Source organism: Homo sapiens, chromosome 4 (genome assembly GCF_000001405.40).
Source record: "Homo sapiens chromosome 4, GRCh38.p14 Primary Assembly".
Classification (NCBI taxonomy): Eukaryota; Metazoa; Chordata; class Mammalia; order Primates; family Hominidae; genus Homo; species Homo sapiens.
The window spans coordinates 121798896-121823950 of record NC_000004.12 but is presented as its reverse complement, the minus strand read 5'-3'; the positions used below and the strand labels follow the sequence as shown (position 1 = coordinate 121823950).

General features: G+C 38.6%; 2 protein-coding genes across 5 annotated transcripts, besides 5 other annotated features; one reads left to right on the top strand and one right to left on the bottom strand.

Moving 5' to 3' along the window:
* CCNA2 (cyclin A2) lies at positions 68-7507 on the top strand. The gene is made up of 8 exons (NM_001237.5): positions 68-535; positions 1305-1548; positions 2860-2972; positions 3186-3409; positions 4372-4579; positions 5038-5151; positions 5774-5907; positions 6265-7507. The coding sequence occupies exons 1-8, from the start codon at positions 323-325 to the stop codon at positions 6311-6313; spliced, it is 1299 nt and encodes a 432-aa protein (NP_001228.2). The 5' UTR covers positions 68-322; the 3' UTR covers positions 6314-7507.
* Positions 220-289: an enhancer, noted in NCBI's record as "active region_21871". NCBI's record gives its function as "activates an Ori minimal core promoter by ATAC-STARR-seq in GM12878 lymphoblastoid cells {active_cell/tissue: GM12878}" and the evidence as "EXISTENCE:reporter gene assay evidence [ECO:0000049][PMID:35858748]".
* Positions 480-529: an enhancer, noted in NCBI's record as "active region_21870". NCBI's record gives its function as "activates an Ori minimal core promoter by ATAC-STARR-seq in GM12878 lymphoblastoid cells {active_cell/tissue: GM12878}" and the evidence as "EXISTENCE:reporter gene assay evidence [ECO:0000049][PMID:35858748]".
* EXOSC9 (exosome component 9) lies at positions 6930-22628 on the bottom strand. 4 transcript variants are annotated; one of them, NM_001034194.2, is made up of 13 exons: positions 22461-22628; positions 22030-22124; positions 21158-21277; positions 20934-21036; positions 19192-19329; positions 16329-16411; positions 13852-13984; positions 12280-12368; positions 10571-10717; positions 9904-10085; positions 7757-7807; positions 7504-7582; positions 6930-7179 (listed from the first exon to the last, which is right to left on the bottom strand). In NM_001034194.2, the coding sequence occupies exons 1-13, from the start codon at positions 22524-22526 to the stop codon at positions 7095-7097; spliced, it is 1371 nt and encodes a 456-aa protein (NP_001029366.1). In that variant the 5' UTR covers positions 22527-22628; the 3' UTR covers positions 6930-7094. The 4 variants fall into 4 exon arrangements, 3 of the variants coding, with proteins under 3 accessions (NP_001029366.1, NP_005024.2, XP_011530337.1); NM_005033.3 differs by lacking the exon at positions 7757-7807; XR_007057929.1 differs by lacking the exons at positions 6930-7179; positions 7757-7807 and adding an exon at positions 8525-8601 and having other exon boundaries at positions 7508-7582.
* Positions 22558-22827: an enhancer, noted in NCBI's record as "active region_21869". NCBI's record gives its function as "activates an Ori minimal core promoter by ATAC-STARR-seq in GM12878 lymphoblastoid cells {active_cell/tissue: GM12878}" and the evidence as "EXISTENCE:reporter gene assay evidence [ECO:0000049][PMID:35858748]".
* Positions 22558-23439: a biological region, named in NCBI's record as "NANOG-H3K27ac-H3K4me1 hESC enhancer GRCh37_chr4:122721667-122722470".
* Positions 22636-23439: an enhancer, noted in NCBI's record as "NANOG-H3K27ac-H3K4me1 hESC enhancer chr4:122721667-122722470 (GRCh37/hg19 assembly coordinates)". NCBI's record gives its function as "activates a minimal SCP1, AML or CMV promoter by ChIP-STARR-seq in naive H9 embryonic stem cells {active_cell/tissue: H9 hESC(naive)}" and the evidence as "EXISTENCE:reporter gene assay evidence [ECO:0000049][PMID:30033119]".

The window sequence follows — 25055 nt, the reverse complement described above, 5'->3', positions numbered from 1 at the left end:
CGAGCGCTTTCATTGGTCCATTTCAATAGTCGCGGGATACTTGAACTGCAAGAACAGCCGCCGCTCCGGCGGGCTGCTCGCTGCATCTCTGGGCGTCTTTGGCTCGCCACGCTGGGCAGTGCCTGCCTGCGCCTTTCGCAACCTCCTCGGCCCTGCGTGGTCTCGAGCTGGGTGAGCGAGCGGGCGGGCTGGTAGGCTGGCCTGGGCTGCGACCGGCGGCTACGACTATTCTTTGGCCGGGTCGGTGCGAGTGGTCGGCTGGGCAGAGTGCACGCTGCTTGGCGCCGCAGGCTGATCCCGCCGTCCACTCCCGGGAGCAGTGATGTTGGGCAACTCTGCGCCGGGGCCTGCGACCCGCGAGGCGGGCTCGGCGCTGCTAGCATTGCAGCAGACGGCGCTCCAAGAGGACCAGGAGAATATCAACCCGGAAAAGGCAGCGCCCGTCCAACAACCGCGGACCCGGGCCGCGCTGGCGGTACTGAAGTCCGGGAACCCGCGGGGTCTAGCGCAGCAGCAGAGGCCGAAGACGAGACGGGTAAAGGGATGCGGGATATCTGCAGGAGGGTGGGTCGAGCAGGGTTTGGCATTGGCTTAGCAGGCAGAGAAGAGTGGCGAGAAGGCATGTCCTGGGCTTTTGGAAGGGGGCCAGGGTCTGGAGTGCAGTTGGTGCTGGTGTGTGGTTTGCCACAGTAGGAGTTCTCCCATATTAGCATCAGGACCCCGCCAACACTGTGTGTATGCTGCCGGTCTGCTCTCTATAGGGGGCATCTGCCTGTACATAATGGGGTCAAACCAAGCTCTAAAACGTGTAGTCTTCGCTCAGCTCCGCGCCTTTCTCTCCACTTTTAAACCCCAGGCACTGCTGTAGGACTCTGACCCCTATCCTCCTCACGCTTAAGAGATGACCTCTACTTTAGAAAAGCGTGTACAAAATACTTTGCTTTTGGCAAATTCCGCCATTTTAGCCGGATTTGCTCTGTTGCTCCACCCTCGGGCGACAGTGGTGAACCAACAATTTTTTTGCTGTCTTTCCTAAACTTGTCACGTATTGGCCTGTCACCCGACCCTTCTTGTGGCCCTGATAAGTTTTGCATAATTCCACCTAGTGTTATCTATTGATAGCCTTTGTGGGAATGCCTGTGACAAATGGGAACATCCCTTCTCTTTTGAATACTGAAACTCTTCTTTGTCCCAGAAAGTTTAATTCCTGATAGAGTATTTGGGAGAAAAAGCAAAGGCCAACACCCATAAGAGAAAGAATGCAAGACTAGTAGGCTCAAAGCCAGTTATTAATTTTTTTTTAGGTTGCACCCCTTAAGGATCTTCCTGTAAATGATGAGCATGTCACCGTTCCTCCTTGGAAAGCAAACAGTAAACAGCCTGCGTTCACCATTCATGTGGATGAAGCAGAAAAAGAAGCTCAGAAGAAGCCAGCTGAATCTCAAAAAATAGAGCGTGAAGATGCCCTGGCTTTTAATTCAGCCATTAGTTTACCTGGACCCAGAAAACCATTGGTCCCTCTTGATTATCCAATGGATGGTAGTTTTGGTAAGTTTTAAGGAAAATCTGTGTGGAATTACGGTAATTATAATTATTAGATGATATTAATGATTTGCATTTTAAGATGTCTTATGTAGTCATTTTGACTATAGTGAGTTAGGTTTAATGTAACAAGGCTTAGAAAGGATGTGACTTATCTCAGATCTCACAGCTAACACTTGACTTGGTGACATACAAAAAGATCCTTATCCAGTGCTCTTTCAGGTTCACTGCCAGTCACATCAATCTAATTATAATTAGATCTTAAATGCTTATTTTAATCTGATCCCATAAATGTGTTCTTGGTTGGGAGAATAGATTTCAGTTTTATTTAACTCACTTATATATCACTTAGTGCTATTTGAAGATGCAGTCTTAAATATTGTGATTACATAACGTCTCTTCCAGTTTTATAATTTTGTTTCTATAAAACCAGTCTGGATTAGCATCTGATACCAGAAAGTGACACTTTTCCTCCTACAAGTAAATAGTTGTACCATGGCTGTTTACTCTTACCCATGTATTAAAGTAGCTTCTGTAAACAGCTCTTTGCAGTTTGTACTATTTCTTTGCCCTAGGGATATTGAGTCACTGGACAGCTCACTAAATCCAATCTCATTTTAGTTTTAGTTGTATTGATTGTGAGGAAGGAGGGGTGAGCAGGAAAAGTCCTTTGGAAATAATAATTTGTGTGTTTTTATCAAAATTTTGCAGAAAATGTTTAATCTCAAGGTGATCTTTGAAGTGAAAGGAATAATGGATGATACTCTTTGCTTCAAAATAATTTATACTACAAAAAATAAATTATTTATAGTGTTAATCCATTTGCCCATAACAAACCTAATTTCTTAATAACACTTGTTAATAGAGGCCATTTAACTGATGCTAGCTATTGCCTACTTGTGCTTTATATATGTCAGACTCTGGGATCTGCAGTTTCTCTTGGGACAAATCTTAGATATTATCTCAAAACTTGGATTTTAAAAGTGTTCTGTCCTAACAGAACCACCATGCCATTTGCTCCTTTCTGTTGTGGAAGATGGATACTTTAAGATAATACCTGATTCTCATTTTCCTGTTAGGGGCCTACCAATATGTTTTTTTTTTTTTCCCTCATTAACTAAAATCATTCCAAAGTTCTATGTACAGAGATACTGAGACTAGGGTAAAATATTCTACATATTTTGTCATGAGAAGCTCTTTTTAGTTTGAAGAAATAAGTGCTTTGTTAATATGAGATTCCTTCCATGGCAGTCATTTTTAGCTATTAAACTAAATAGGCAAACAATTAATTTAATCATATCTTTTGAATTGTCCCAGAGTCACCACATACTATGGACATGTCAATTATATTAGAAGATGAAAAGCCAGTGAGTGTTAATGAAGTACCAGACTACCATGAGGATATTCACACATACCTTAGGGAAATGGAGGTAAAGGTTCTCTGAATCCAGTTTGTATAATGTATTTGTTAAATGTGGCTAAATGAAATTGAGAGGATAATGTTTAAATTTTTAAACTAATGAATTATTCTAATGCTACAGTTAAGTTTATAGCATGTAGCCTCTCGTAATTAATGGTAAAATAATCTAATTGCAGTTTTTACACTAGAATAATTTTAACACTATAAATAATTTTCTCAATAGGTTAAATGTAAACCTAAAGTGGGTTACATGAAGAAACAGCCAGACATCACTAACAGTATGAGAGCTATCCTCGTGGACTGGTTAGTTGAAGTAGGAGAAGAATATAAACTACAGAATGAGACCCTGCATTTGGCTGTGAACTACATTGATAGGTTCCTGTCTTCCATGTCAGTGCTGAGAGGAAAACTTCAGCTTGTGGGCACTGCTGCTATGCTGTTAGCCTCGTAAGTCTACCTTGGTTTGTTTAAAAGTGATCACGACCTTTTGTCTAGGGAAGAAATTGATTTTTTTAATGGTGACCTTTTAACATACACCAGGCAGAGTCAGTGACTACTTTAGGGATGGCAATGTGCTGGGGCTTAGGGCAGTGGAGGAGGATGAAACTGTTCTAATCTAGAACACTAATTTTCCCCCAACTGGATTCCTTGAACATGATATAGTACACTAGGTTACAAATTTTAAAACATTTTCCTTCCAATATTACTTTCTGGCATATAAGCAGTGTCTCTTTTATTAAGAAGTAAAGGCTGGGTGCGGTGGCTCGCGCCTGTAATCCCAGCACTTTGGGAGGCCGAGGTGGGCGGATCACTTGAGGTCAGGAGTTTGAGACCAGCCTGGCCATCATGGCGAAACCCTGTCTCTACTAAAAATACAAAAATTAGCTGGGCATGGTGATGCATGCCTGTAATCTCAGCTACTAGGGAGGCTGAGGCAAGAGAATCGCTTGAACCCAGGAGGTGGAAGTTGCAGCGAGCTAAGATTGCACCACTGCACTCTGGCCTGGGCGACAGAGCAAGACTCTTGTCTCAAAAAAAAAAAAAAAAAAGAAAGAAAAACTAAATTTAAAAATGAAAACATGAAACATGTTTTCCTAAGACTTGTATTTCCTAAATTTTCAGCTACTTGGTGAACTCTGGCATTGTTCCCATCTCGAGAAGTCTCATGCCTTTCATTTACTTCCTTTGACTGAACTGGGGAAAATATCTCAAAAGTCCTTTATTGATTTGGGCCTTTTAATTAGCAATTAGCTATCCAGTCTCTACTAGAAATGATGATCAAGTGTCTGGAAATGCAGTTGGTGTGGATTTTGGATTCATTCCATATTCTGCTAATGGGATTTCAGAACTGGGATAAGGAAGCTTGCTTCTCTTTTAGGACTGATTACTTAAAACTTTTTTCATTGTAGAAAGTTTGAAGAAATATACCCCCCAGAAGTAGCAGAGTTTGTGTACATTACAGATGATACCTACACCAAGAAACAAGTTCTGAGAATGGAGCATCTAGTTTTGAAAGTCCTTACTTTTGACTTAGCTGCTCCAACAGTAAATCAGTTTCTTACCCAATACTTTCTGCATCAGCAGCCTGCAAACTGCAAAGTTGAAAGTTTAGCAATGGTGAGTTAACTTTCATTTTGTTGAATGGTGATTCTTTGGTAATAATTAGGGGTAAGCCCTAATTCCTTTGTAAAGGAACCTAGTTCCTTTGTACAGCAGTGGTGAAGAGATTTAGTATTCAGAGGGAGATTAATGCTGCAGTATGGAAGAAAGCCTACTGCTGGCAAAAGATAATCTATATCAGGAAAGCACTAGAAGCAGAGGTCTAAGGATGACATCTTGGGGATGGGTAGTCAGAAGAGTTGTTTTTTAAAAGTTAATAAAGGAGGGAAAATACAGGATGAGGATGGAACAAAACACTAAAATGATTGATATGTTTAAAGATGAGGCTGTGAGATATTTTTTCTAGAGTTGCTACAGAGCCGTTATCAAAGGCAGGAAAAAATTAGGTTAGAAGGCAGAGGTTTGACATTTGAATTCTAAACGCTCTTGTGATCATAAAGTATTTTTTATTCCAGTTTTTGGGAGAATTAAGTTTGATAGATGCTGACCCATACCTCAAGTATTTGCCATCAGTTATTGCTGGAGCTGCCTTTCATTTAGCACTCTACACAGTCACGGGACAAAGCTGGGTATGTATTACGGTCTTCACACACCTATCTTGTGACTGAAATGCCTGTGCCAGATTAAATAATAATTGTCCTACAAAACTGAGGGTTGCCTAGATGTTCTTACTTGGAAAAACTTCAAATATATATAGTTGACCTTTGAAAAACACAGGTTTGAACTGTGTGAGTCCACTTACACATGGATTTTTTTCCAATCAAATGTGGACTGAAACTACAGTATTCAGGGGATTCACAACCCATATATATGGAAGGGTGACTGCAGGACTTGAATATGTACAGATTTGGGTATATTTGGGAAGGGTCCTGGAACCAATCCCTCATGTACACTGAGGGATGATTATATACTGTTTAAGGCATGTTACCTGTTGAACAGTGTTTGTTAGGTAGTAAGCTTAGTTGTAACTTGGATTGAAAGGTGAGCTTTTTTAAAAGCATCTGACCTGTTGCTGGCAGGGAAAGTAGTAGAAAATGGATCGAGGGATGGAATAATGGCCTGAGAAAACTAGTAGTTGGAAAAGTTAAAGATTAGTACTGGAATTTAACATAAGCTTAATGCCAACTATTTACTGTGTTTGGTGTGTTACTAAAAGCAAAACTCAGGGGTTCTCTATTCCCTTCTCTGTAGCCTGAATCATTAATACGAAAGACTGGATATACCCTGGAAAGTCTTAAGCCTTGTCTCATGGACCTTCACCAGACCTACCTCAAAGCACCACAGCATGCACAACAGTCAATAAGAGAAAAGTACAAAAATTCAAAGTAAGAATTAACTTGGATATTGAAGCTTACTTTTCTAGATTATGGTTCAGAGATCTTTGACATTTTAACCTTATTCATGAATCTGCCATAGCCTCCTTGAGAAGCTGTTCTCTAAATTGGTTATGTGTTTGAAGAAGGTTGTAGTTCATGCTTTCTGCCCTGGGTCTGGGGGAGAAGAGAGAAGGAAGGGGGCATGCATGTGTGTTTCAGGGACCAGACAGTGTTTCTAAAACCATCAAGTCGGTCAGACAGAAATAGCATTTTTTAGTTCCCAATACATGAGTACAAACATTATTCCATGATCTCCTTTACCCAGTGAGTGTTTACTAAAAATGCTTTTTTTTTCCCTACTTACAGGTATCATGGTGTTTCTCTCCTCAACCCACCAGAGACACTAAATCTGTAACAATGAAAGACTGCCTTTGTTTTCTAAGATGTAAATCACTCAAAGTATATGGTGTACAGTTTTTAACTTAGGTTTTAATTTTACAATCATTTCTGAATACAGAAGTTGTGGCCAAGTACAAATTATGGTATCTATTACTTTTTAAATGGTTTTAATTTGTATATCTTTTGTATATGTATCTGTCTTAGATATTTGGCTAATTTTAAGTGGTTTTGTTAAAGTATTAATGATGCCAGCTGTCAGGATAATAAATTGATTTGGAAAACTTTGCAAGTCAAATTTAACTTCTTCAGGATTTTGCTTAGTAAAGAAGTTTACTTGGTTTACTATATAATGGGAAGTGAAAAGCCTTCCTCTAAAATTAAAGTAGGTTTAGGAAAACAGACCCTCAAATTCTGACATTCATTTTCCTAAGCAACTGGATCAATTTGCTGACTTGGGCATAATCTAATCTAAGCATATCTGAATACAGTATTCAGAGATAGATACAGTAGAGATTCCCCAGACTTTTTCGCTCTTTGTAAAACCTGTTTGTTTAGGTTTTGCGAGGTAAACTCAACAGAGGTTGGGAGTGGAAGAGGGTGGGAAGCTTATATGCAAATTAACAGACGAGAAATGCTCCAGAAGGTTTATTATTTTAAAGCACATTAAAAACAAAAAACTATTTTTAAAATCCTGCTAGATTTTATAATGGATTTGTGAATAAAAAATACCCAGGGTTCTCAGAATGGAATAAATATCCCTTTTAATAGTTATATATACAGATATACAACTGTTAGCTTTAATTGGCAGCTCTCTTCTTTTTTCTTCTTTTCACTGGCTTTTTACTTGGTGCTTTTTCTTGTTTTGCACTGGTGGTCTGTGTTCTGTGAATAAAGCAAAGTAAGAATTTACTAAGAGTATGTTAAGTTTTGGATTATTGAAATAAGAGGCATTTCTTAGTTTTCCAGTAGGATCTAAAATGTGTCAGCTATGAGTAAGACTGGCATCCAAGAAGTTTATATTATAGATTTAGGTCCTAATTTTTATAAATCACAAGGTAAAAAAATCACAGAACAGATGGATCTCTAATGAAAAAGGGATGTCTTTTTGTTTATAGTCATGTGGCAAGATGAGAGTAAAACCAGAGAGCAAACCTCTATAAGTGTTGAGTATATGTATACATTTGAAATAAACCAGAAATTTGTTACCTTATTTTCTTTGGATTCTTGTCTGGTTCCAAAATGATCATTTCTTCTTCTTCACTATCTGAGAGTATTATGGGAGCATCTTTGTTTTTTTATTAATTTAAAAAAAAAAAAAAAAGTTAAGCAATCTCTTGCAAAATTTATTTCTACATGAATTTATTTCTATCAGACGTTCTAAACTCTTATTTCTGGGGCTGGGCGTGGTGGCTCACACTTTTAATACCCACATTTTGGTAGGCTGAGGCAGGTGGATTACCTGAGGTCAGGAACTCGAGTCCAGTCTGGCCAACATGGTGAAACCCCAGCTCTATTAAAAATAATAGAAAAATTAGCCAGGCGTGGTGGCATGTGCTTGTAGGCCCAGCTACTCGAGGCTGAGGCATGAGAATCGCTTGAACCCATGGAGGTGGAGGTTGCAGTGCCACTGCACTCCAGTCTGGGTGACAGAGCAAGACTCCATCCCAAAAAATAAAAATAAAACTCTAGGTGGAGGCTTAATCTTTTCTTTAAATCAGCTTCTTAGAGCACTCTAGAACTCATCTGTAACATTTGTTTCTTTAAACTCTTATTTCCTACAGGTGCTTGAATGGTGTGACAATTTGGTACATGTCATAATAGAAAAGCTAGGGGGAAATGTATATAGCATCTTTTGTAGAGACAACTGAATTGTTTGTGCTACTCTATTCCTCCAGAAATAGTTCCAGTTTACATTCCAAGAAATAAAAGAACCCATTTCCCATATACCTTTGGCATTGCTGGTGTTTTTAATACTGCCCAAAATACAGTAACAAAAAATGCCATGTCATTTTTCTTTGGATTTTATTTGTATTACTGTCAGGGCTGACCATGAAAAATATTACTGGCCATTGTATACTTTGAGAACTGCTCCATGTATTTTGCCCATTTTTCTCCTGCTTATTAGTTAATGATATACATAAAATGTGAATTAACCCATATCAATTATTTGTATTTTTAGTTTTCAATTAGTTTCTCCCTTTGTTCACATGCTTTAGGAAGGCTGTACCTGCTCCATTTTTCCAATGCTTAGGTCCACCTTCATTATATTCAGTTGAAAATATTATTCACTGTTAGAAGAATACACTAAACAAACATATAAGAGGTATATGCAAGTGCAAGGATATTAACAGTGAGAAAATGGAAACAACTTACATCTTCAACAATAAGAGAATTGTTAAACCAACTAGTTATATTCAATGCTATACAAGTATATGCAGCATTAGCTTACATCACTGCACAGAGAGTAAATAAATACCTGGAACAAGTTCTGGAAGAATAATACCAAATAGAAGTAACCACTGGGAAATTTGAGTAAGGGTCCCAATCAATGGGAAATTTTTTCCTTACCTATTTACTTAAGTAAAAAAACAAAAAGCCCAGGCTCCAGTAATGTTCATAAGCAATAATTTCTCTCTTTGAAAACAGAAGTATTTGCATTACATTCCTATTAAACACATCACCTTCAATTTTCCCTGCCAGCCTAGCTCCCAGTTCCTTGTAGGATTTCTGTTCTTACCACGTAAGAAAATAAGTCATTCTATTATATAGACCAGCAAGAATTTGCTTTTTTTAAAAAGTAGAAATAACCATACATAACAACTTCAGTTCTATGGCTTTCAGAATGCAAGAAACGTCTAGGACTACCAGTATTCTAGTTACTTATAGAATTTTTTTATGTTCTAATACTGCGATGTCTAGCATGGTAGCCACTAGCCACATGTGGCTGCTTAATTTTGTATTAAGTAAAATTTAAAATTCAGTTCTCAGTAACACAAGCCACATTTCAAGTGTTCACTAGCCATGTGGGGCTAGTGGCTGCTATACCAGTGTAGATACTTAATGTTTCTATCATCATAGAAAGTTTTATTTAGGCAGTATTATATGTTATGATATGGGATGGGCTTTTTGTTTCAGTCTAGAAACTACAAAAAAAAAGACAGCAGGGAGGAATAAGATCTTCAAGAAACTCATTCCCTTAAAACCCACCCACATACATACACACACACAAAATTTTTTTAATTAAAAATATCACTATCATTTATGCCAGTGTTCCACTACTCTACAAAGATATGCATATTCTTTTAGAAAGTAGCATTAGTATTGCAGCTAGCCACAATAATTTAGTTGAAATTTAAATCACAATATTTAGCCCCTCTAAAAATGCAATACTTACATCCCTATATATAACTACATATCTATATTCTCTCTATATAGTATCCTGTATGTTATTTATCCACTATACATCTCTATATAGCTAATATGCTATATATTACTATATACAGTGATAATATAAATATACACACATTTTATGCATTATATATATAACTATACGGTAATACTATATGTATGTAATATATAGTAAGTGTGCCATAAAGTGTCACCTACCTTGGCTTCCAATATCAGAGACTTCTACTCCAGTGTCCATTTTTATACCATCAAGAATGATAGCTTGATCACCACCGCCTTCATCATCTTCCTTCTCAGAGTCTTCAAGATCACCCCAGGAGTTTTCTACTCCCTCTCCAATTTGGGCAGTTCCAGGAGTCCATAGCACAGGTGTAGAAACACTTAACAAGTTAAGAAAACTGAGTAACAAAAATATTGCTATTTGATGAACTGTTGAAGATGAGAATGAAAGTTTTCTTCTTGTAAGATTGATTCAAGTGTGCCCCAAGTTCCTAGGGGAAAAAAAACTTAATATAGCTACACTATGGATGGCTGAACAATGAAGAAGAAAAAAAACTCAGGCAAGATTTTATGGATGCAATTAATAAGAAATGTGAAGAGACAGATTCTCTCAACATTTTAGTTATAGTACTAAATTAAATTGGTCCTTAAAATCTGTTTTTTCCAGGATAACTGAATAGAAGCTGAATGTTATACCATCAACAGAATATGACTCACATCTCTATCTTGTATTTTAAGTGTTTTCTCTAACAAAGTACAGTGTTTACAAAAACTAATTTCAGTATACACATCCTTCATATAGCCTAATATTATAATGCCAAGTGTTATGAATCTTGTTACTGCAAAAACCACCAAATAAAGATACACTTCTGAAGGAGGTTCTGCTTCAGCAATGATTTCTTCTGCTTTTTCTTCTACATCCGAGGTATCAATAGGGGCCTTTTCCATTTTAAATGCTGTGATCCTTTGATTTGCTATAGACTCTGCAAAACCAAACTTTCCACCTTCTTTCCTGTATGTGGGGGTTTTTTTGGTGGGAAGGAAGGGGGAGGAAGGTAACAGATTGGATAGAAGACAGGAAGGGAAAAAAACTATTATTTTATCCTTTGGTGGATGAAAAATATTGGAAGAGAGTTAGTTTATCTAACTTAACCTCACCAATTTATTATGCCTAACAAGAGTAAATAGTTAGCATAATCATTTATTAAACCACGTGCCAGACCATGTGCTAGGTGCTTAAAATATACTATTCTCTAACCCTCAAATCAGCCCTACCAGGTAGTGTTAATATCCCATATTATAGAAGAGGACACTGAAATGCTGGGTTATGTATCTTGCTTAAGATAGCACAGTAAGAGGTAGAGATGGAAATCAACCTGTTTCCTTCCATTAATTTGAGTTACTAGATTATTTTTATCCTAAGAAAATGTTAACTGCTAAAGAAAAATCTTATGTCTCCAGGCACGGTGGCTCACACCTGTAATCCTAATATTTTGGGAGGCCCAGGCGGGTGGATCACCTGAGGTCAGGAGTTTGAGACCGGCCTGGCCAAAACGGCGAAACCCCATCCCTACTAAAAATATAAAAATTAGCCGGGCATGGTGGTATGCATCTGTAATCTCAGCTATTTGGGAGGCTGAGGCAGGAGAATCACTTGAAGCCATGAGGCGGAGGCTGCAGTGAGCTGAGATTGCACAAATGCACTATAGCCTAGGTGACAGAGTGAGAAGTGAGACTTCATCTCAAAAAACAAACAAAAATCTTATATGATTTTTCAATATAGGTTACATTTAAATTGCAGAAAATATAACAAGTCCAATTTTCTAAAAACACATTAAATAGTATACTCAATTCAGATTAACAAATAAGGAAAGATCAAGTGTGAAATTTATATGGTTGCCCTCGTTCAAGGAAGATCCTTAAGAAAAAAAATATATTAAAAGACCATTTAGGGCCATTTCCTGTTCCCTGTGTTGTATCTTGGAGTCTGGATTAATGAAGACCTCTTGCTCTTAGGAGGGTCTTTCCTCTTTATTGTTTTAGAATTCTGGACTTGACCCAGACTTAAATTCCCATCTGTGATGCATTTTGCAATAAGTGGGTTTGATGCCAGCACTTTGAAAGATATCCCTCATAAAACAAAAGGACAAGAATCACCAGCTCCCACACAAAGTAAAAAACGTGAACCTAATTTTAGCAGTGTTAATAAGGAGCAACTATCCACAAGTCACTGCATCAATAATGCTTGTGTTATAACATCCTCTCCTCCCTAAGGCACAGGAGCAAGTGACACATACTTGTCTGGGAACCAGTTTCATTAATACTTTTATTGTATCCGTCCAAAGATGAGTAGCAATATCTGTTACCAGTTTCACTACCTTTCGGAGTTTTGGGTAACATAACTATACCATGGTATTTACACTTTTTAATGAGTCAATTTTAATTGAAATTGCCATTCTAACTTTGTATGTGAAATCAAGTTCATGCATAATAAAGCTTGCTTATACTAAAAAAAATAATAAAAATTTAAAAAATGAAAATAAAAGACCACTTAGTTCTGGAAAAGTTACTTACCTTACTTTTTGGTCATTCTCCAAAGCTTTCAATATTAGCTCTGTAATTTCTGCTACTTTCACACCAGCGATTTTACTGCATCTCAGAACCTATTTATAAAAGTGAATTCTGTTGTTTAAAGACAATAAACCAAATAGTTTTCTCTAATGAAACTAAAACCATGAAATTTTTCTACCTTTATAATTTAAGCCTGACTTTTCCAAACATGAATACAATGTAAACACAGATTAAGGCAAGATGTGAAAGTTGTTTTAAGATATGTGAAGGACTGTCACATCAAGGGAACAGACATAAAAACTTTCTTATACAACAGTATAAAAGATACCACAGAAGAGGCCACAGACACATATATGCTCCAGGATGCACTAACTTCCTTTTTCTGTGGGTAATCTGGGTAGTACTTGTGATGCTGGTAAAGATGATGATGATGATACCAGAAACTAACATTTATTGCACACTTAATAAATGTGTGCTAGACACTGTGCAATATATTTATATCCTTATAACAACAAGGTGTTGGCAATAACATCATTCCCTATTTTACAGATAAAGAAAGTGAGACCCAAAGATATAAAATCATTTGCCCAAGATCAGCTAGTATGGGGGCAGAACTAGAATTCAAACTAAAGAAGCTTTTAATCATCTACACTGTATGCTATATGGAGATCTATTTTCTAAAAGCTCCCATGTGAATATGATATATAGCTGGGTTTCAGAACTACTGCCAATTGTAGTTCTAAAAGTGCAAGTAAAACTATCTTTTTACATAATGTCTACTATTGGATGTTTAAAAATTTTTATTTGCTTTTGAGACAGGGTCTCATTCCGTAGCCCAGGCTGGAATGCAGTGACACGATCTCAGCTCACTCAACCTCCACCTCCTAGGCTCAAGCAATCCTCCCACCTCAGCCTCCCAAGTGGCCAGGACCACACGCATGCACCACCAAGCTCGGCTAATATTTATTTATTTATTTTATTTTTTATTTTTTCAGATGGAATTTTGCTGTTGTTGCCCAGACTGGAGAACAATGGCACGATCTCAGCTCACTGCAACCTCTGCCTCCCGGATTCAAGCAATTCTCCTGCCTCAGCCTCCCAAGTAGCTGGGATTACAGGCGTGCGCCAGCCACCACACCCAGCTAATTTTGTATTTTTAGTAGAGATGGGTTTCACCATGTTGGCCAGGCTGGTCTTGAACTCCTGACCTCAAGTGATCCACCAGCCACGGCCTCCCAAAGTGCTGGGATTACAGGCGTAAGCCAACATGCCCGGCCACTTTTTTTTTTTTTTTAATAGGGATATAAATCTTTTTCTTCACTAGACCCTGCTTCTAGGTGGAAGGGTCAGACTCCAGCAGGCCAGACACGGGAGCACCAAGGTAGGAAGGAGGAGGATACCTCATAGCCACCAGTCAACAGAATGTATTTAATAGTGACAGTACTGAAACCAGATTCTAACACATCCTAGAATAAATCACTGGAAGTATCCCCATTGGATTTTTGTTAAAAGACAAGAAAAAGCATCTAAAGAGAAGCAACCTATTATTAATGGGACATTAATCAAAGCACTAACTTGATCTTTTAGTAGCATTATCCCACCACTGGACTGGATAGTACAAATCTCTCGATGTTTGTTCATGGCAATCACCAGCAAGCCATCCATCACACGTTCTTCTCGTTCATTGGGATCCACCAATAAATATGTTCTGAAATGAATGTTAAATGGACCTGAACAAATCTGAGACCGAATGCTTACCATTTCTTGGGTAATGAATTTTTAAAAGATGGCATCAATAAAGTCAACAGAGAATAAAGGTCTGAGCCTACGGATTTGGGTCACTGAAATGGGGAAAGAGACAAGAAAATTATTGTGTTTATGAACACAAATGAATGCTAAGTGGGTATCTCTAGTTATTACAATGAAATCACATTAAGTTCAGATTGGATTTACTTAAATGATATATAATCTAAACCTAATGCTATCTCTTTGATTAAATGACTTCTGGCTCATTAATAAAAACTTAGATAATGTTAAATTGGTTAACCCTAAAGTTGCCCTAATGTCCTGTACTCCAAAGTTCTACTGCGTTCTGCTAATGGCTCATGAAAAAAATACTGTCTATTTCTGCACTGTCCGGTACATTTGCCAATAGTCACCTGTGGTTACTGAGCCCTTGAAATGTAATCAGAGTATGTAAAATATTGGATTTCAGAGACTTAGTGGAAACAAAAGAATGTAGACTATCTCATGAGTAATTATTAAAATACTGATTATTTCATTAATCATTTTATTTCATTAACGTGAAAATATATTAATTAAAAATATATAAAAATTAATTTTACCTTTTTAATGTGACTACTGGAAAATATTAAATTACACATATGAGGCCAGGCATGGTGGCTCATGCTTGTAATCCCAGCACTTTGGGAGGTCAGGACTGCAAGATCACTTGAGCTCATGAGTTTGGGACCAGCCTGGGCAACAAAGTGAGACCCTGTCTCTACAAAAAAAATTTTTTTAAATTAGCTGGGTATGCCACACACCTATAGTCCCAGCTACTTGGAAGGCTGAGGTGGGAGGATCACTTGAGCTCAGAAGTAGGCTGCAGTGAGCTATGATCACACCACTGCACTCCAGCCTGGGTGAGAGTGAGACCCTGTCACAAAAAAATAAAAAAAAAATTTAAAAAGTAACAAATGCTGCGCATGGTGGCTCAAGCCTATAATCCTAGCACTTTGGGAGGTGGAGATAGGCGGATCACTTGAGCCCAGGAGCTTCAGACCATCCTGGGCAACGTAGTGAAATCCCATCTCTACAAAAAATAAAGAAATTAGCTGGGCATGGTGTGCACCTGTGGTCCCAGCTACTCAGGAGGCTGAGGCAGGAGAATCACTTGAGCCTGAGAGGTTGAGGCTGCAATAAAACATGATCACGCCACTGCACTCAAGCCTGGGTGACAGAGGGAGACCTTGTCTTAAAAAAAAAAAAGAAAAGAAAAGAAAAAGAAACAGCCAGGCATGGTGGCTCATCCCCGTAATCCAGCATTTTGGGAGGCTGAGGTAGCTAGATCACTTTTGAACTCAGGAGTTCCAGACCAGCCTGGGCAATATGGCAAAACCTCTTTTTTACAAAAAAAATACAAAAATTAGCTAGGCATGGTGGTGCATGCCTGTAGTCTCAACTACTCGGAAGGCTGAGGCTGAAGAATTCATTGAGCCCAGAAAGCAGAGGTTGTAATGAGCAAAAATCACGCTGCTGAAATCCAAATTGGGCAACAAAGCCAGACCTCATCTCAAAAAAAAGAAGAAAATAAGAAAATTATATATATGGTTCACATTTTATTTCTACTGGACAATGCTGGCCCATTTTCCTCTGATAAAACTCTACACTTACAATCACTAAAACTTGTAAGTGTTTCTCTAGTCCTTGTGCACAACACTGTGTGAAATATTTTTATCTTCCCTTGTTTCTAAAGGAATTTAAGGCTCAAGTTTTCATTTGAAAGCACCATTAAATGGACCTGAAAAACTCCAAGTTTTCTGCCACAGGAGGATTTAGCAGTTAAGTAATGAAAACGCTGGAAAACTTAAGAACATTAGATTTTTTTCCTCCAGTCTGTGAACCATCCCCCCTTGTAACCGACTCCTAGAACTACTCCATCTAATATGTTCCAAAGTCCCCTATCTTCCAATAACCCACAGTAATTCTCACCCCACTGTCCCAAATTAGAGCCTAGCATATAATTCTCTTAACCACTGTACAGCCTTAGGAAACATAAAACACTACCATGCCATAGTAAATTCCTAAGTTTATAAGTATCCCATGAAAAGAAAAATGTTGGGAAGTATCTTCATCAAAGTATAAGAGTTTTGTTACTTCTACTGAGAAAGTTCTTTGCCAACTAATGCCCTTACAAAGAAAGAAAGGAAATACAAGGTGCTTTACTATTAAGGGAAGTGTTTGTTTAATATTAACATGACATACTTGAGTAGAGCAATAAAATTCCTAGCTGCATTTGTAATTTTGGCCCATAATAAGGCGAGGCTTACCCTTGCTGGAAAAAGGCAAAACTGACACAAATGGGCATGTGGTGGATACTTAATGGTACAGGATCACGCTCTTCAGGTGTATACTGTTTCAAAAGAAAATGTTTAATAATTATAGTCACTAAGTTATGAACATCCAAAAAAATCATCTTGCACATCAAATACTAAAAAATGAAGTTCCTTTATTCTTTTGAGTACCTAAATAACTTCTTTTAATTAATTACCAGTTTGATTTTGCCACTCACGTTCCTCAAACTGTACAACTTTTTCAAAAAGCTTTTTCAAAAATTTACTGACACATAATTTACATCCCATAAAATCCACTTTTTTTTTTGGAGATGAAGTTTCACTCTTGTTGCCCAGGCTGGAGTGCAATGGCAAGATGTCAGCTCCCGGCAACCTCCGCCTCCTGGGCTCATGCGATTCTCCTATGTCAGCCTCCCAAGTAGGTGGGATTACAGGCATGTGCCACCACGCCCGGCTAATTTTGTATTTTTAGTAGACGGGGTTTCTCCATGTTGGTCAGGCTGGTCTCGAACTCCCAACCTGAGGTGATCCACCTGCCTTGGCCTCCCAAAGTGCTGGAATTACAGGTGTGAGCCACCACGCCCAGCCAAAATCCACTCATTTTAAGTATATGATTCAATTTTTAGTAAATGTATAGTTATGGATACATTTACGGACCCATCACCACAATCTAGTTTTTTAACATTTCCATTACTCCCCAAAATTCCTTTGAATCTGTCTGTAGTCCGTAGGAGTCTGGTGTACTCCCACCCTAGCCCCAAGGAATCACTGATCTATCTTATTTCTGTCTCTATAAATCTGACTTTCTGAGCATTCTATATAAATGGAAAAAAAAAAAGTTGTAATGTTTTGTGCCTGGCTTCTTTCAACTTAGCATGTTTCATGCACCTTGCAGCATTTATCAGTAGTTCAGTTCTTTTCATTACTGAACAGCATTCCATTATTTGTATATATGACATTTTATCTATTCACCAGCTGGACATTTGGATTGTTTCCAGTTTCTGGCTAACAAATGATGCTATGAACACTTGCATTGAAGTCTCTGAACGTAGTAAGCTCTTATTCCTCCCGTAGATTCTTAGGCATGGAATTGCTAGAATTTTTTTTTTTTTTTCTAATTTTAAGCCATTGCAGTTTGTTTTAACATTATAAGGTCGGCTGGGGGCAGTGGCTCACGTCTGTAATCCCAGCACTTTGGAAGGCCGATGTGGACGAGGTTGGGAGTTCAAGACCAGCCTGACCAACATGGAGAAACCCTGTCTCTACTAAAAATACAAAATTAGCCAGGCGTGGTTGCACATGCCTGCAATCCCAGCTACTTGGGAGGCTGAGGCAGGAGAATCGCTTGAATCCGGGAGGCGGAGGCTGCAGTGAGCCGAGATCACGCCATTGTACTCTAGCCTAGGCAACAACAGTGAAACTTTGTCTCAAAAGAAAAAAAAAAAATTACAAGGTCAAACCTGCTGAAAGATGTACATATAAGAGAGTGTTTTCAGCTGGGCATGGTGGCTCATGCCTGTAATCCCAACAGTTTGGGAGGCCAAGGTGGGAGGATCACTTGAGCCCAGGAGTTCGAGACCAGCCTGGGCAATTTGGTGAAACCATATCTCTACAAAAAATACAAAAATTAGTCAAGTGGGTGGCACATACCTGTAGTCCCCACTACTCAGGAGACTGAGGTGGGAGGATTGCTTAAGTCCAGGAGGCAGAGGTTACAGTGAGCCGAGATCACGCCACTGCACCCCAGCCTGGACAACGGAGTGAGATCCTGTCTCAAAAAAAAAAAAAAGAAAAAAAAAAAAGAATATTTTCTTCTACTGTTATTTTTCTGAATATAGAATGCTGTCTACACTTAAAACTTAAGCTACCAAACTTTTCCAACATGGCTGTACCATTTTACATTCCCACTAGCAATAACACCACAGTATTCTTTAATTGATTTTTCAAGTGTAGTAATCGCTTTCTACTTTTTTTCACTTCCTTATATAAACTCCCTCCTCTAAAAGAATATTACCTCTACTGTTAATAAACCTTTGTCCCTATTTCTCACTTTTTAATGGTTCTGCTTCAGTCTACTGCCCAAAATCAAAATTATGAATCATTGCTTAGAAAATCTGGGCATCTGATGTGTCCTTTTGCAACTTCAGGATTCAAACTACAACTACAGTGCACTTTCACTATTCTAGCATGTAATTTATATAAATCAAAACTGACATACTCAGAACAAAAGATAAAGACAACGTAGGTCAATGGTTTTCAAAATGTGCTCCCTGGACCAGCAACATCAGTATTACCTAAGAACTCAAAGTTAGAAGTACAAAATCTTAAGTCCTAGCCCTGTTTTACTTTGGGAGTAGTCTGGCTATACGTTTTAACAAGCCCTCCAGGTATTTCTGATGGACTTTCGTCATCTCTTTGCCTAATGAACAAAAGTCCTGGAGACAAATATGAACCTGCTGATTCCTCAGTGCTTTTCAGCTATTGCATGCCTCTTGCAGGGTAAGCATCTCACTGTGCTGAGATTCATGTATTTTTCACACATATGGCCCCTAAACATAAGTCAACCACTTCATCTAATGTTCAATCCAAAATAGTCATCTAATTCTATTCTGGAAAACCAGGCTAGGGTATGTTCTTACTGACAAATGTTTCAACAGAGGAACGGTTAAGAGATTTCCAGGGCAATTTTGACCATATGCAGTTTCAGTCTTACAAACAAATTTTTAGAAACGACCCAATTGCCATCTACAACATAACTTCACTAAAAACAAGTTGCCTGCACATTTAAGACCCTCCTCATTCATTCATATCAAGGATCCTGGTTCACATAGGAGCTTACCAGTGTTACTTCATCTCCTTGGACAGAGACATCAGGTCTTCGGAAATGACATAAGGCCACGATTGCAGCAATGCTGGCAGCATCAATAATATTTCCATCATGATTTAATAAATGTAGGTCTACACGTATTTGCCAAACCTGATAGTGAATTTAAAATAAAAATAAATCCTAACTGATTACAACCAGTGGCTATTTATCAGGAAAAGTAACATTGTGTACAAATTATTTTTTCTTGCTGTTAAAACACGCAGTTACTCCTTGTACTTTGTCAACAAAAAATATATTTTAGAAAATTTAAGCCAAACATCTGAAATACTATGTGGGTCGTTTAACAACAGAACACATACTTTAAATAAACAGAACCACTCTAACATTTAATACTACGATTTTCCTAACCTCAAATCTAATTACATTTTTATCATGTCTGTTAAAAACCACAAACTCTAGGCCAGGCACAGTGGCTTACACCTGTAATCCCAGCACTTTGGGAGGTCAAGGTGGCAGAACTGCTTTAGCCTAGGAGTTCGAGACCAGCCTGAGCAACACAGCAAGACCCTATCTCTACAAAAAAAAAAAAAAAAAAGTTTTTTAGTTAGCTGGGTGGAGTGGCACGCGCCTATAGTCCTAGCTATTCGGGAGGCTAAGGAGAGAGGATCTCTTGAGCCCAGGAGTTTAAGATTACAGTGAGCTATAATGACACCACTGTACTCCGGCCTGGACGAGAGTGTCACCCTGTCCCTCAGAGAAAATAATGAAAGTTTTCAAAAATTAAAAAAAATTAAACTTTTAGGTTTTGTGATATTTTTAATAACCTTACAAGTAATGCAAATAGGAAGTATTATGCTTAGGTATGGAATATGGGAAGCTAAATGACTTCTCTGGGATGAAAATGCTTGTCAAAATACCCTAATCAAGAATCAAATTCTGGCCAGGCACAGTAGCTCACGCCTGTAATCCCAGCACTTTGGGAGGCCAAGGCAGGTGAATCACTTGAGGTCTGGAGTTCAAGACTAGCCTGCTGGTGAAACCCCATCTCTACTAAAAATACAAAAATTAGCCGGGCGTGGTGGCAGGCGCCGGTAGTTCCAGCTGCTCGGAAAGCTGAGTGGGAGAATCGCTTGAACAGGGGAGGCAGAGGTTGCAGTGAGCTGAGATTGCACCACTGCACTCCAGCCTGGGCAACAGAGTGAGACTCTATCTCAAAAAAATAAAACAAAATAAAATAAAATAAAATTCTAATATCCTAATGCAGCACAATTTATTGGGACTAAGATTTTCAAAGTTATCCCTGCCACTGACATGGTGTGGCCCTGTGTAAATCGATAAACCTATCCAAATGAAGGATTTCATCTGTTCTTGAGTTCTGCATGAAAAAGGAAAACTACCTGCTTCTATGAACTCATGTAGAAAATGAGAGATTATATGAAAAAGCCACAAGTTCTTTGAATAAAATATTTTTACACAAAAATCTAAGTTGCTATTTTCACCCTTTTAAGATAAAGGGTGAAAACCTTTTAGAAACCTTTAAGAAAAAGGGTGTCCTCTGAAGGGACACCCTTTTTGTCCCTTCAGAGAGAGAGAGGTAGCACAAAGTTCTAAGGGTATCACTCAAGAACATCTGAAGTGAAGCAAACCAGTACAATACTGAGTTAACTAAAGTTCTGAGAATAAAAGGATAGATACCGGGATCCATGATCAACAGTATTCATCCTAAGATTAAGAATTATGGGCATATTCCCCACCTTTTCACCAGCAACAACACAGAGAGACTCAGTGTCTATACACTTCGAATTTCTTAGACATCTTTCCATGAGTCGATTCAACTTCACCAAGAGATCTGACTGCCTATAAGGAGAAAATAGGAATGGGCTAATGTCATGAAATATAACACCAGGTATTAAAACAAAAGCTCACTGCTGTTAGGTTCTCCTATGACTAAAGCAACTTAAGAAAAAGATTTAAATACCTGCCAGGTTCGAAAGCTGGAGCGGCCATCTGAGAGAGTTCAAGGTTAAAAAAAAGAATACCTTCTGTTGCCCGATTGAGTTTTGGAGACACAAGTTCACAGGAAACCTGTCCAAGAACTCTGCAAAGATAAAGTTACAAAGTATTAACCAAATAGACTCTCCTTCCAAAACAAAAAACTGAAACAGATAACAAGTTTCAATCTTAATGTGAGTAATATCATACTCAGCCAAATAAATCATAGGAGATAAAAATTATATGTAAAGTATAATATACACAGAAATAAAACATAAATTGGTACAACTAAAAACACGACAGAAAAAACACCTCTCTTCTTATTACAATGTTTACTATTCCACAGATTGTTTTAAAAATCAGTGACCTTTACCTCTAAAGCAAGTATTTATTGATACAAGATGGCATGAAAACCTGAGATTTCTTAAAGGTTTTCACATGGCATAGTTCACCACCATTATGTGACCAAATAGCCTCACAACTTTCAAATGAATATCTGAAAACCTAATTTTCATGTCACTCAGGAAAAAGAAAGCAGGATGTACACTTAATGACAAGATGCTCAAGATCTCTATATTAGTGTGAGAAACAAATTCCATATGATCACTACTAGTTGTCTATACGATTTATAGAAGTCAGAAAAGAACTATGTGATACGTGACAGAAAATACGTTTATGATTAAAAAGTTCAAGTGTGACCACAAAAGCAAAAAATCTCGCATAAAAAAATACTTATTTTTGTCAGCTAAACAAAGAATACTGTCCAGACTTCTTAGCTGCTTTATAAACAACCAAGTCAATAAGGTCTTTTTTCAAACTTCTCCCTTCCGAATGTGTATCTCATTTAAATCCTGTTACCTTGTTTTTCCAAGTTCCACAATGCAGCATCCGTAATCTGTTCCAAATGAGATCCTGATGTTCCTATAATCATAGGTTTGTCTGCCATCCAGCCGCTGTAAGCACAAATTCATTCATTAATTTATTCCTTCAACAAGTATTTCTTAAGCAACTACTTTTTGTCTGGCCCTGGGCTAAGCACTTGGGGGAAAGTGGAATCCTAACCAGCCCGCCCATACAGGAAAGTGGAAACTACAGCATGGACAACTGCTGCGGTGACTGGAGCCTTGAAAAGAACCTGTCGAAAAAAAATAAATAAAGCCTGAGGGATGGGGTGAACGTGCCGGTCGTTCCCCTAGTAGCTCCCCGGGCCCAGGCGGGCCAGGTATCAGTCCACACCTTGAGACCCGAGCGCCCACGCAGCGCGCAATTCTGCGGGCACCAAACCATACCTTCTTCTCTTCGATGGCACGGAGTAGGAAGCGGCGTTCGCAGTTTGAGAGTGGCGTTTCCTTCATGGTGTTGGGTCACCGGCCCCACAGGCACCAGAATCCGCGGGAAAAACGGAACCCGATCTTTCCTTGCGCGCCGCTGCTCGCCCCGAGGCGCAGGAAAATTACGTCATCAAGGCGCGGCGGCGGAAAAATGGGAAATGGCTTGGGCTGCAGCTACTGCGCAGACTCAAAGCGTGATTGGGGAAGGCCAGCGAGCTGCGAGAAGCCATTGCGGCTTTGGGAGGCCGTTTCTGAACGTGAAGTTCCGTTTCTTTTCTCATAAAGTGCAGAGGAGAAAAGGATACTTAAAATAACCATGAGAGTGATAGAAATTATTATCAGTAGACCGCTCGCACACTTCACCCTTTGCTCAGTCCTCTCACGGGGTGGAGACTAGACATGTACTTCTGCAATTTCACAGATGAGTTGACATTGGTCCCTGGAAAGCCGCAGATGCAGGATTTGGAGCAGATTAAATGAACAAACACTGGAATGAGGCGGCATAAGGGTTGGGGGAGAAAGATAAATTGGTGAAATGGGATGTTTTTGTGGCCAAAGGTGAAATCTTGTGGGATCTGAGAAGTTGATGAGAATGGAGAATGTTCGCACGTAGTAACTAACGATGTTACTACTACTGTGGACTGAAAGTAAATGCACCGTTTATTTCTTATCCCCTCTCCAGTTATTTTAAGTCGATAGACTTTTTTTTACGGTCACAGAGAAGCCTTAGCGGGGCCATGCTGCCAACCACTCAGCTTTTTTGGAGAGGCAGTATCAAATAGTAGTTTTAAAAAGTGTTCACTGCCAGGGTTCAAATTTTAAGGCTATCATTAACTACTATAACCCTGGGCAAGTTAACCTGTGTGCTTCACATTACTCACCGGCAAAAAAAAAACAAAAACAAAAACAAAGCAGGGGAAGTGAGAAACCTATTTATTCTGAGGAATAAAAATGAGTTAATATATACATAAAATGTTTAGAACAGTGCCTGGCATGGAATAAGCACTATTTAAGTGTTTGCATATTATTATTTTGTTTCCTTTTGCTTTAGAGGTGGTAGGCACTGTAACTCCTACGCAGTCTTTCTCTGGCTTCTTTGGTAGCTTCTCACAAGTTTTTTCTACCAGTGATACATTTTAGTCTCACTTTGTACCACTTGCAATCCATGTACTCAATAAATACTTGAAGAGGGCCTACTCTGTCCAAGAATAATTTAAGTGCTGGAGAAACAGGGTAGACAAGATCCTTTCAAGGAATTTATATTCTTTTTGGAAAAGGCAAAAAACCCTAAACAAATAGAACAATTTCATACAGTGTTAAGTGCTCTCTGAGAATAGGAATGCTATCTTAATAGGGGTAGTTGCAGGAACAGGTGACTTTGTAGCGGTGACATTAAAGTAAAGTAAATCTTTGGTGTTGAGCAGGAGCACCCTTGATGCCATCTGGAGAGGAAAAGTGTTTCAAGCAGAAAGAGTAACATATGCAAAAACTGAGATGAGATGAGCTCCACATGGTCTGGAGAGAGAAATTGTGAAGAAGGAGGAAAGTGGACAGAAATGATTAATTTTCAAAATCGGCAAGGGGATTACAGGGTACTAACCACTTAAGTTCTTTAGCAACATGAATTCATTTTTATAGTACAGTTTCATACCAGAACTCCTGGTTGATAAGTTCTTCATTTAAATCCTTGAGTTCTTTCAGTGGCCATTTGGTAATTTTTCCCTTCAGCGATGAAATAGACCTTTGTTGAAATAGCCTGTTATTTACTGCAAGGCAGCTTGGTAATGGAAAGAGAATGGACTTTGGCTTCAGATAAAGTTCAGCTCAAATGAACTTGGAGTGAGCTAAATATTCTTTCTGATTTGGGGGTTCTGTATCTTCAGATTGGAAATAACAATTATTCTGTGTTAAGTGGTCTGAATGAAAGCATCTGATGAAACATTTTGGACATGATAGCTATTCAAATGTTAGTTTCCTCCTTTCTTGTTGGGTTGGCAAAGGCTTCCCATGAAACTGCCCAAACTCAGCATGACAGATTGCTTTTCTGAAACTGCTGCTTGATTACTTTGCTTTCCTTCCACTTTTGTTGAATTTCCACTGTTCTTTTCTACTTTCACTTTTATATTCTAATTTAAACACTCTTGCTTTTGTCTTTTTATTTTCGAGTTAATCCAAAGGTGTATGACCCATCTCCACTTACATCTACATACCATCCTAAAATATATGTACTTTACAACCTTGTGTTTATAAGAAATTTTTGAATGCCAAAGGAAAATTTGTTTCATGATTTCAGGGAAAAATAAGTTTGGAAGGTTAAGAAGAGGTTCAGATAATGTGTCAGGTAATGTGATACATTCTATTATTTTTTTTTTCTTTTTTGAGAGAGTCTCACTCTGTCACCCAGGCTGGAGTGCAGTGGCATGATCTTGGCTCACTGCAACCTCCACCTCCCAGGTTAAAGTAATTCTCCTGCCTCAGCCTCCCAAGTAGCTGGGACTACAGGCATGCACCACAACGCCTGGCTAATTTTTGTATTTTTAGTAGAGATGGGGT

What these genes read in the sequence shown, in the direction of transcription:
- CCNA2 (NM_001237.5), top strand. Translation starts at nt 323, where the DNA reads ATGTTGGGCAACTCTGCGCCGGGGCCTGCGACCCGCGAGGCGGGCTCG. An exon ending in AGAGGCCGAAGACGAGACGG is followed by an intron (nt 536 to 1,304) that starts GTAAAGGGATGC and finishes ATTTTTTTTTAG; the next exon opens with GTTGCACCCCTTAAGGATCT. An exon ending in GAAAAGTACAAAAATTCAAA is followed by an intron (nt 5,908 to 6,264) that starts GTAAGAATTAAC and finishes CCCTACTTACAG; the next exon opens with GTATCATGGTGTTTCTCTCC.
- EXOSC9 (NM_001034194.2), bottom strand. Translation starts at nt 22,526, where the DNA reads ATGAAGGAAACGCCACTCTCAAACTGCGAACGCCGCTTCCTACTCCGT. An exon ending in CCAGCTTTCGAACCTGGCAG is followed by an intron (nt 21,037 to 21,157) that starts GTATTTAAATCT and finishes TTCTCCTTATAG; the next exon opens with GCAGTCAGATCTCTTGGTGA. An exon ending in TTTGCCTTTTTCCAGCAAGG is followed by an intron (nt 13,985 to 16,328) that starts GTAAGCCTCGCC and finishes CATTCATTTCAG; the next exon opens with AACATATTTATTGGTGGATC.